The following is a 12298-nucleotide window of genomic DNA, read 5'->3' as shown; positions in this document are numbered from 1 at the left end:
CTGACAAAGGGCCAACATCCAGAATCTATAAGGAACTTAAACAAATTTACAAGAAACAAACAAACAACCCCATCAAAACGTGGGTGAAGGATATGAACAGATATTTCTCAAAAGAAGACATTTATGCGGCCAAGAAACACATTCAAAAAAGCTCATCATCAGTGGTCATTAGAGAAGTGCAAATCAAAACCACAATGAGATACCATCTCACGCCAGTTAGAATGGCTATCTTTAAAAAGTTAGGAAACAACAGATGCTGGAGAGGACGTGGAGAAATAGGAAGGCTTTTACACTGTTGATGGGTATGTAAACTAGTTCAACCATTGTGGAAGACAGTGTGGCAATTCCTCAAGGATGTAGAACCAGAAATACCATTGGACCCAGCAATCCCATTACTAGGTATATACCCAAAGGATTATAAATCATTCTACTATAAAGACACATGCACACATATGTTTATGGGAGCACTGTTCACAATAGCAAAGACTGGTAATTAACCCAAATGCCTATCAATGATAGACTGGATAAAGAAAATGTGGCACATATATACCATGGAACACTATGCAGCCATAAAAAAGGATGAGTTCACGTCCTTTGGAGGGACATGGATGAAGCTGGAAACCATTATTCTCAGCAAACTATTACAGGGATAGAAAACCAAACACTGCATGTTGTCACTCCTAAGTAGGAATTGAACAATGAGAATACATGGGCACAGGGAGGGGAACATCACACACCAGGGCCTGTCAGTGGGTGGGGGCCTAGGGGAGGGATAGCATTAGGAGAAATACCTAATGTAGATGACGGGTTGAAGGGTGCAGCAAACCACCATGGCACGTGTATACCTATTTAACAAACCTGCACTTTCTGCACATATATCCCAGAACTTAAAGTGTAATTTTTTTAAAAAAAGATAGACACATAGTTTATGCCAGAAAAATAAAAAAGTTAAGATAGCTTATAGAAGGTTGAGTGTGTATTACCTAGAACTTCTCTGAAAACAGTAAGTGTTTATCATTGGAATTATAGACAACAGATATTATATATGGCTTATGATTATTAATGAGAAATACAATTTGTATTTCTTACTTGCTACATCTCATTTTGAACTGTATTCCAAAATTGATGGAATTAGGACAGCGCTACAAATTTATTTCATTATTTAATGTTATAAGCAATTAAAATTTTATTCATATGAGATAACCATGCTCTCAAAATTATAACTAATTTCATATTCAGTTACCTATATGAAATCCTTCTTAATCATTCTTTAAAACTGGGTTGTACAAGAGGTTCTCTTGGGCCAGTGCTGGAGTAGACAACAGAGGGGTGAGAACCTCCTGTTGAAAAGGAAGAAAAATTATCATGCAACAATTTGGAAGGTTTGGATTTTTTTTAAAAAGGCAAGTGCATTAAAAAATAATGAGATAGTGTAGTAAATTATGAAAGGCTGGGAACGTGGCTTCAGTAAAGGCAGAAAGTCCTTTATTATTATTTTTAAACCTATCTTTCTCCTAACCGTAAACATAAGCCATATATTCATGAATACAACCCCCACCAGTGTGTGAGGCCAGTCTATTAAAAATAAAAAGGCACATAGGAGTCTGTCACACCGCAAGATGAAAGCTGTGTTCTTTATGCATGGATATCATTTTGTTTTAGAAGGGTTGTAAAAAATAATACAATTATAAAGAAAGTCAATTTATGGAAAGAAGGTAGACTCTTCCCGCATTATGTAAATACTTTCTACTAGGGTGCTCGATATAAGAAATATACTACACAGCATTTCACTTTCACAGAAAATATGTGATGATTATTCACATAATAACAGGAACTTTTAGAGCATGTGAATATTCATTTATGAATTATTGACAGAGAGGTTGGAATGTTAGGAGATAGTGCCTACTGGACATTATTTAGTAATACAGATTTTCCATCTCTGAAGCTGTGGAAGTGCCTACTATACAGGTTAGGTCTTTGATTTACTTAATTCTTACAATAATCATATAATGGGAATATTATTTTCCCCTTATAATTCCCATATAATGGGAATATCAATTTTCTCCCCTATTGGGCCACTCACACAGGATGTAAGTTTCAAATCAGGCCTAAGTAATAAAAAATGGCAAATTCTTGATATTTTGGAATGAGAGACAATAGGCATAACCAAGTTGTTATACTGCCTCTTCCATGTCACCTCTTCTGTGCCTCCTGAGCAAATACCCTCCAACTTGGGGAGAAGAGGAGAGTTGGATAGGAATAGAATAAACTTAGACATGGTTTGTTTTTGTGCTGGTCTACCACTACTGTCTGCCACTACCCGCCCATTCCTCCAGGGTAGGAGACATGATAGAATTTACTGCAATGAAATTTGGGAGATCTGAGATGGCCAGTGAATCTCAGGCCCTGTATGGACCTATGACTCTAAAAAATGCTTCTAGGAGTCTTAGGGAAACGGAGAGAATGTTTCTGCCATGTTGTAACCTTGGAGTCTTTTTAGTTCTGGGATAGTGTGTAGGGGCATCAGAAATTTTGTCTTAGGTCCAGAGTGTGGGTAGAAGTCAGTGGAGAGAGGGTGTCAGGGAGCTTGATCACATGGAGGAGAGCAGGGGAAGCAGGCCTCAGTCAGGAAACATTGTAATTTTGGAAGTATACAGAGGTTTAGATGGCGGTGTGTGTGGGTACAGCACTTTATCATGTACTTTGACTTTTGTATTCCACTTCTGCCATAGCCAGGTGGGAGACAAGCTGTTGCTTTGGTTAGGGTTGCCAGATAAAATAATACAGAATGCCCAGTTAAATTTGAATTTCATATCAATGATGAATAATTTTCTAGTAGAATTATGTCTCAAATATTGCATGGGGCACACTTATGCTAATAAAAATATTTATTCTTTTTGAAAGTGAAATTTAACTGGGAATGTTTTATTTGCTAAATCTGGCAACACAACTCTTTGGTGCCCTGAGCCAGTGAAGGAATCAAACTATCCTGTGCTTTATCCATCTTTGAAGTTTGACAACAGGTGGGTGCCCCACAACAGGTGTTAATATTACATTTCATAGAAGAAGTAATTCTCAGTTCAAGAAGTAATTCTTAATTCTTGATGGGTTAGTCTGTCTTTCTGAGGCAGCCCAATTAGGCCAAATAGAATGGAAAATATTTAATCCCTAGAAAATTTCGAGAGGGTAACCTATTTAGTAGCTTGTTCTAGAACACACAAATAGTAAATGGCAGCATCAGGTTTTTGCAGGTCCAAATAGCCTCCACAATACACATTCAAAATTTAAAAAGCTCCTCAGGAACATATTTATTGTGTAAAGAAAGGTGCTCTTAAAAACTGACTGGTAGGTAGCTGCTGCTATTTTCTATAATGTACTCTTGTGTTATGGTCAGGCCTACAAAAGAAACCTTACAAGTCTTTCCCAGGAAACATCCTTTTGAAATTAATTGAATTATTTTAAAGAAATAATGAGATATTACTTCTTTTTAACTTGGCATTTTATTCAAAGGATGTTTCTGAAATTAAACCAGTGGGAGTTTAACCAAAATAGTACAGTGACACAATGATGCCATTTAGAAGAATGTTGTGCTGAGTTAAATAGCTCTAATTATCAGCAACTTTCAAATTATAAAGCAATTAAAAAAACCCTCAGTTTTCTTCTTCAGTGGAATCCATAGTGATTGTATGAAGCATTTCATCTGGTTTGGATAGCTGGGTTTCAGCATCTATTTTGAGATCCCAGAGTCACAAAAAGTATGCTATCCTTAAACTTAGTTTTCTCTTGTGCCCAGAATAATCCTGTATTCTGAATCCCATTTTCTTCTGTCCCCTGAGGACCTTCCTTTATAGGAAGTTGTATTTTGCCTTTACTGTCAACTTTTCATTTTTTTCTACTCATTTTTCCTTTTCAGCATATTAACCTGTTAAAGTTTGATCCAAACGACATGACGATGCTGGCAACAACAGCAGCAGCAATGGTAACCTTCTTTCAAAGCAATACCCCATCCAGCGACAGTCCTGTCTTTCTTCTTTTCCTCATGCTAAGTTTCTGAAAGATTTTAGGTGCGCTGACCTGCTTACTAACTACATCCATTTTTGGACAGAAGCGAGGGAGTCGAATGTTTCCTGGAGCTAGTTTTGTTAACTGGTGTTCTATTTCCATTAAGTATCAGATGCCACAAAAATTCCAGTTAATCATGAAAATAATTAAAAAGAAATGTTAATATATACCTTAAAAAATACATGTTAAGCATATAAAATCAAACTTTTTTTTTTTTTTTTGAGACAGAGTCTCGCTCTGTCACCCAGCCTGGAGTGCAGTGGTGCGATCTCTGCTCACTGCAAGCTCCGCCTCCCGGGTTCACGCCATTCCCCTGCCTCAGCCTCCCGAGTAGCTGGGACTACAGGTGCGTGCCACCACGCCCAGCTAATTTTTTGTATTTTTTAGTAGAGACGGGGTTTCACCATGTTAGCCAGGATGGTCTCGATTCCCTGACCTCATGATCCACCCGCCTCGGCCTCCCAAGTGCTGGGATTACAGGGGTGAGCCGCCGTGTCCGGCCTAAAATCAAACTCTTAACATAAAAGCTATGCTGTACAAATATTCCTTTTGCGAGCTTTTTTTTTTTTTTCCCCCACGTTGAGCTAGGTGAAGCTTCTGAAACAGGAAATCAAAGAAATCTGGCCTGAAAGGCAACCCCCGCCTTTTAAAAAAACAAAACAAAACTACCTTTAAAAAGCACAGGCATTTTTATTGCTTCAAGGATCTTCAAAATGCAGCTAAAATTCAAGATTTAGGGCAATCTATTATTAACATTTTTGTTCATTCAATGAACATGAAATACTCCCAACAGTTTAAAATTGTTAATTGTAGAGGAGGGGAGGTTTCCATGGTCTTTTCTTTTTCTATGATTCCTTCCTCTCTTATTTCAATATGAGCCAGCTTATTTGCCTCCTTGTGACCAGCTCAACAGCCCTGCCAGCAGACTCAGTGAAGGCATGGTTTTATTAGCAGTTGTTGGGTGGATGTAAGTATCAGTATAGTTATTACTGTGGATGTTTTAATTATGTGCTTGCTAATCTGTCCTTAGTACTTGCTGTTCCCTCTTCGTGGAATGATTTTCCCCTAGAGCTCACAGGACAATTCCTTCTTATCATTCAGGGTTCAGCTTAAGTATCACTTCCTTACAGTGGATTTCTCTGATTAATCTAATGTAGACTTTCGCCTCTTCATAGCAGTTATCACTGTAGGAAATTATCTTGCACATTTGATCTTTAAGTTGTTTATTGCCTGGCTTCTCCATTGGGACATAAGCACATTGTCTCTCTTGATATTAAGTGGCACTCAATAAACACTTGTTGGAGAAATGAATGATATGAAAGGTTAAGTATACAAGTGAGTCAGAAGTCAAACATTTCTAAGGAGAGGTTTGTATATACTATTTTTTATTAACTTGACTTTTCACTTCTCAGTAATCTATTTCTGCCTTTCACTTGCACAAACACTGTTATTATGATCACTTATCCAACTGACATTTTTCAGACCTTTTAACTTCAACTGTTCTTTTTTCCTGTAAATCTTAATTTTCTTTTTTTTTCTCCCAATTTTTCTCCTACATGTCTGGACTCTTCCCAGTTCCTGTCAGAGTAAATGTTGATATTGCCCAGAACATAACTTGCTCTTCCTTTTCTCTCCTTCTCATTTTTCTTTCTTTCCCCTACACCCTCTGTATACTCTATAGAGTAAAATCATATACACCCACGGAGTCAATAACTGCCTTTAATCTAACAATTGGATGATTCCCATATCTTTATTTCTACCCCATATATTTCTCTTCAATTCAAGATTTTATCCAGTTACTTAATGAGGTGTTCAAGCTCAAGATGTCCAAAATTTAAACGTATTATATATCATATATTGTAAATACATTTTTATATACATTTAATATATTATCTTTTCTTTCCTCCATTCCTATACTTTTTTTCCACTTATATTCCTTGTTGGTGAATGCCTGCTAACTGGTTATCTTGCATTCAAATTCACCCCTTTCTAATTCAGCCTAAATATTATTACTGGAAGGATTATTTTAAAATGAAAATCTGAACATATCCTCAAGTAAAAATCCTTCAATGGTTCTGGTTCTCTGTTGCCTTTAGAATGAAATCTAAATTGTATAAAGCAACTGTGACCCTTTATTTTCCCAGAGCTTTGTTTTCAGCCATATCAGAGTATTTTCCGTTCTTTGAATACATCACATTTCTTCTGACTTCATGCCTTTGCATATACTGTTACAGCTGCATGATTATTTTCCTCCTGGAATTTTCTGATCTGGCTCTTACTTGTACTTCAGTTGCATATGTGATGGCTCCTAATTTGGAGGTAGATACTACTTTATGGTGTTTCGAAAGGATTTCCTGTATACTTTTATCCCATCACTTGTCATACTGTATGTGTTTCTCCTTCTACTGTAATAAGCTCCTTGAAGTCATAGAGAATGTTTCCTCTCTATTCCCCAACAACTAGGACAGTGCCAGGGACAAAGTTGATTTTTAATGTTTTAATAAATGGTTGCCAAATGAACTATGGTTGCACAGTTTTGTGTATATCTATATTCTTATTTCTATCTATATCTGTCTGTAATTTTGGTGAAAGTCTTCATAATCTTTTGAGGCTGTTTGATTCACTTTGGGATATTATGCTACTATTTTATTTTGATTCACTATTGGTTTTTTTGAGGGGATATTTTCAACTGAGTTTTTAAAATTTTTATTTCTGTTTTCCTGTCATATTAGTTTTTTTTTCTTTTTAGAATACTTGTAGGTTGCTTAAGCCTCAGCAATTCTGTGATGGTTTGGGATGGTTTACAAGATCCCTGGTTAGAACTCTTCTGTTAAGGTTGTAAAAGATAGTTTATTTCCTCAGTAGCTTTCTTCAATTAAGAAAAATTCTTTTGTCTTACTGGATTCTGATTTTCCCTTTCTTATTTCTTCTTATGTTCACTGTGTAGTTTCCAGAGTGCTTCTCCATTCCTTTGTTACCCTTCTCTCTCCCAAGGCCTTTCTAAGACCACCTCTTAGAGCCCCACATACTCATTCCTCCTTCTAGTAGGCTCTGATCTACCAGGACTCTTTTTCCATTATTTTTGCAATGAGAGTAGAATTTCTCTTTATAGCTGTGATTTTAGATCAATTTTAAATTTCATTGCTAGGTTCTCTCTTCTGTTTTCAGTATGGTTCTCCCCCATCTCCCACCATCCCTCCACTCTGGCCCCATCTTGCCCTTGTTCCCCAGGTAGGCTTGCACCAGAAGGGTGAGAAATTCCATGCTAAGAGTTGGTGTTAATTTTTTATTCACGTGTAATTTGAAATCTAGGTTGTTCTCTCTTTTCTAGTTATGCTGACAGCATAGGTTTTCTGTAGTTTTATTTATTTTTTATTTTTATTTTTGGAGTATGTGCTGGGAGATTCAGACTTAAGCAGCTGCCATCACCTTGGCTATCCAGAATTCGATCATAAATGTTTAAAGGGATTGAAAAACAATGTTTTCACTTATCTCTTGGTAAAATAATTTATTTTCTTTCTTTGAAACAAATAACTTGAGATGTTTCCCAAAATTGTTGTGACATTTCTGTTTGGCTACATAAATTGTCTACAGCATCAATTTAAGAAACAAAGTGCTTAACATTAAGAGAAATAGAAGATGAGATTTCGCATCAGTTTCACTCTTGGATGAATTCAGATTAGAACATGGGCAATGGAAAGCAAATTAGGGCCTTCAAAATTTATGACCAGTGGGAAAATACATGAGAATAAAATTACATTAAGATTGGTGCTTTGTGTTAAAGATACCTGTGATGAGTTTTCTTTTCAAGAGGAATGAAATGACCTAGATACAAAAAGACAAATATTACATGATCTCACTTAAATGTGGAACCCAAAGCAACTTTATCTAGTTACTTAATGGGCTTTTCAAGCTCAACATGTCCAAAATTTAAATGAATGAATGAATATATGTATATACACACACCTAATGTGTGTATATATATATATATATAAAATCATGTATTATAAATATACTTAAGTATATATAAATTTAATATATTTTTATTTCCTCATTTTCTCCATTTCTACCCTTTCTTTCCACTCTATTTCCTGCCTCAGTGAATGCCTGCTAATTGGTTTTGTTGCATTCAGTCCTAGGAGCAATAGTGAGAGCTAAGCAGTTTTAAAACAATTTGGCACTTCATTTCCATGATATTGATTTTTTTCCAGATACTTATCTAAGCCCCTGAGAAGGTGGGCCAAGGTGCTTTTCTTGGTCTCTTTCCACGCTTAAATGTTTGGTTACTGTCAAAAGAGCAAAGAGCACCTGCTTCTAGTGAATACATGCTCAAATGAAAAATGACAAGTTGCAACTTAGGTTGAGAAGTAATGATTCATTTTTCTCAACCAAAAAGACTAATTTGTTTTTGTGGGTGGTGGTGCAGAGGTGGCTTGGGTGAGGAATGGGGGAAATTACTTACTTTTAACCAGCACTTGGCATTATGAAATGCATTTCCGATAATTAAATGAAAACACATTTCATTTTGAATTGAGTTTAAATAATTTACTACTGCAAGTGAAATTTAAATCTTAGGTACATAAAGAAAAGACTCCCAGGGAAATCTGTAAAAGATACATTAACAGGGATATAGAAATAATTGTTCTATAAAAAGGAATTTAGTTTGGTTTTTTACCTATGTGATACTAGCTGTACTGATACATGTTAGGGAAAAATAATCAAGTACTATAAAAAAATCAGCTGATCCATCTGGGCGTGGTGGCTCATGCCTATAATCCCAGTACTTTGGGAGGCTGAGGCTGGCGAATCACCTGAGCTCAGGAGTTCGAGACCAGCCTGGGCAACATGGCGAAACCACATCTCTACTAAAAATACAAGAATTAGCCAGATGCGATGACCAGCCTGGGTAACATGGCAAAACCCTGTCTCTACTAAAAATACAAAAATTAGCTGGACACGGTGGCATGCGCCTGTAGTCCCAGCTACTCAGGAGGCTGAGACAGGAGAATTGCTTGAGCCTGGGAGCCGGAGGTTGCAGTGAGCTGAGATCGTGCCATTGCACTCCAGCCTAGGTGACAGAAGGGACTTTGTCTCAAAAAAAAAAAAAAAAGAGGCCGGGCACTTTGGCTCACACCTGTAATCCCTGCACTTTGGGAGGCCGAGGTGGGTGGATTACCTGAGGTCAGGAGTTTGAGAACAGCCTGGCCAACATGATGAAACCCCATCTCTACTAAAAATACAAAAAATTAGCTGAGCTTGGTGGCATGTGCCTGTAATTCCAGCTACTCAGGGGGCTGAGGCAGGAAAATCACTTGAACCTGGGAGGCCGAGGTTGCAGTGAGCCAAGATTGCGCCACTACACTCCAGCCTGGGCAACAAGAGCAAAACTCCGTCTCAAAAAGAAGAAAGAAATCAGCTGATGCAAGGGATCTCTGACCCATAGAGTCTTGCCCATTTCATACTTGTCTTTCTGGTTCTTGGAGAGCCATTTATTTCCTTTCAATGTCTTCATTTCTTGCTTTCAAAAGTTAATTATTTTGGTATATTTCCCAAATACCATCCTTGTATCCCTGTACTGTTCTAGCCAGGTGCTTAATTTTTCATTTCCTGTCTTTCCCTTCCTCTCCTCCCCAAACAGTCTGTTACCCCATGCTGTCCCTTGTTGCCCAAGAACCTCCAATTTCGAAACTCAACGAGGTTCTGTATGTATGATTTCTTAACATCTACCTCCCTCACAAACATACTTAGATGCATGAATCCCTATTAAATTGTTAGACAGTGTGAGCGGGATGCTCTCCTCCTTCTGTCCTAAGCTTAAGGTTTCTAGAGATTCTCTCACATCTGTCCTCATATTTCAGAGTTTCCTCATCCATAGAACTCTGAGAGCAACAAGTTTTATGCTCTTGTGCCTTCCCATTAGACATCCTGTGGTACCTAGGGGTGAGGAAGGTCAAGAGAGAAGCTGGCAGTCACCACTGTCTTGGTGAGGTGTGTGAGTGCTAAAGCAGGTTGAAATGGGATTTGGGGCTCTGCTCTTCCTGCAGGAATGGGACAACCTGCTGGACCCTTTATCAGTTATATGTACAGCTCTTCACACTGCCTATAGCCGTGTTCCCAAGGATACAGGTTACAACTCTAGCTTTTCAGAGCTCATCCTCTTTTCCTCCATGGGGAACCACCCAGGTTGTGAGGTGGCTTAATTTTAGATTTTAAAGACAAATGTTCCTGAAAATAGTCCTTGATTGCCCCAGATGATTTTACATTTTTTCCCCTACCACCAAAATTAGGTGTAGGGAACCCCCTTTATGTTTCAGTGACTATTTGATTTGAGTGACTCAGCCAGAAGTTGAGAGAGGACACACACGTACACACTCTTCCGTGGGTTTCCTGCTGTAAAGGCCAGCTGCGTCTCAGCCAGCAAAAGCTTAATCAACACACAGGAGGTGATCCTAGGATGATCAGGAGCCTTGGCAGCCAGTGGAGGAGACATTTTTTGCCAAGGGGGATGTCTTACTGTCAAAACCTATAACAGTTATGCCTTGGATGATTGGTGTTATCTAGCTGTTAACTGAACTATGCACAGAAAACTGACACTTTCGCAGGCTTTTTTGGTGTTGCTATTTCTTCCTGGATCCAAGTGCTGGAGTGGCTCTTTGGTGCTTAGTGCAGTCAGTAGCATCTTGGTTCCTCTGAAGCATTGGGCAGAATGGGGAGCATTGCCTGGGACACTGATGGGGCCTCATCATGGCTGGGGGTGCCAGGTAATCATTTGGGATGATAGGTTTAGTTAAATACTTTTTGGATTGGTATCAATATTACTGGAGATTTGTATTTTTTTCTACAACTAAAATAAGATTGGAGACCTTGGAAGAAAGTAGTAAAATGACTAAAGTGTGAGAAAACATGATTCATTAGAAAGAAAATGAATTTACTTAACCCTTAGAAGAGAAAGGTAAGAAGAGAATAATTCTTCATATATAAAACAAAGGAATTTCTCTTAAGGTAGCAAATGGCTATTATCTATTTCCACAAATGTAGAACAAAATCAGAGGACAAAGCTCTTATTCAGGCATAAATATGCTTGAGTGCAGCTAGCAGTTATTTGGCACTTTCTCTATCTCAGGTTATGCTAATCACTTTACTTATTATTTCCTGTAATCCTTGAAATACTTTTACAATAATCTTACTGTTTTTCTCATTCTATGAATGAGAAAACTGAGGCACATAGAGGTTAAACTTGGGGACCTACCAAAGTATGGTAGGGAAGCAGAAATTGAATGTAGATACAAATACTAGATGTGAAAGTCACAGGTAAGAAATGAAGCAAAAATACAGGAATTAGGAAGACACAGTGAAGCAAAAGTAGTGGTTAAATATCTAGACTATCAAGAACTAGAAGATCTATTGGAATTGAGTACTAGGTGAAGGGTGGAGGGTCATGAACCCATATAGTAAAAGAAGATGGTGAAGATCAGAATCCAGATAAGTGGTCTGTTTATCAGATATGAGGTGACATATACAAAAAGACCTTAATTCTGGAGGCAAACTTCAACTTCATCCAGCACGCCTATGTATTTCTGGCTAAAGTAGATTCTTGTTCCCAGGGCATGGACAGTCTCAAAAATGAAACAGGTGAATGAGTGTGAACAAGACTCCTTCTGTGCCTCATCAATCAACACTTTTGACTTCATAGCTTAAGTTGTAACATCTATGTCACCAATAACTTATCTTTTAAAATTCCCTTAGGTTTGGGTTGCTTTTTAGCAGCTTTATAACATAAAAGGCTTCTAATTAGGAATTTTTAAATAGCAGAAGATACGGCATTATTTATATCCCTGTAGGGAAAATATGAATTTCACTGAAACAAAAGAAAACCAACAAAGAAGTGTTTCCTATCAGATGATCACTGTTGGCTTTAAAAGGAAGAGACGTCTAGTTGACTTATTTGAAGGAAAGCTTTTCTGAGTGGAATCAGACCAAAGCTGAGGCCTTTTAGGTTTCTTGTGCTTTGGCTAGGTATGCCGTTAGCCTCTGTCTCTGACTGAAAGTGCTGCAGTGAAGCCACATACTCCTGTTCAAAGGGGAGATTAACACTTGTTACTAGTAGAAAACAAAAAGCCAAGGATGAGAAAGTAAAATTGGGTTTAATTTCTATCATCACTGGGTCTAACTTCCACTGTGTTATCACCACCTAACTTGGGTACTGCTGCTCTTGCTGTGACCTTAAATGGGTCAG

At 37.7% G+C, this 12298-nt stretch overlaps 1 protein-coding gene across 7 annotated transcripts in view, besides 1 other annotated feature; it reads left to right on the top strand.

Annotated features, from left to right (window-relative positions):
- CTNNA3 (catenin alpha 3) overlaps positions 1-12298 on the top strand; it is a 1851072-nt gene that overhangs the window by 265750 nt on the left and 1573024 nt on the right. The gene's annotated exons all lie outside the window — the stretch shown is intronic.
- Positions 8149-8318: an enhancer, noted in NCBI's record as "experimental_15807 CRE fragment used in MPRA reporter constructs". NCBI's record gives its function as "activates a minimal promoter by MPRAs in K562 erythroleukemia cells, with activity observed for both the introgressed and non-introgressed 10:69249370 variant alleles {active_cell/tissue: K562}" and the evidence as "EXISTENCE:reporter gene assay evidence [ECO:0000049][PMID:34662402]".

This window comes from Homo sapiens, chromosome 10 (assembly GCF_000001405.40).
Source record: "Homo sapiens chromosome 10, GRCh38.p14 Primary Assembly".
Classification (NCBI taxonomy): Eukaryota; Metazoa; Chordata; class Mammalia; order Primates; family Hominidae; genus Homo; species Homo sapiens.
This window is presented reverse-complemented; position numbering and strand designations above follow the sequence as displayed.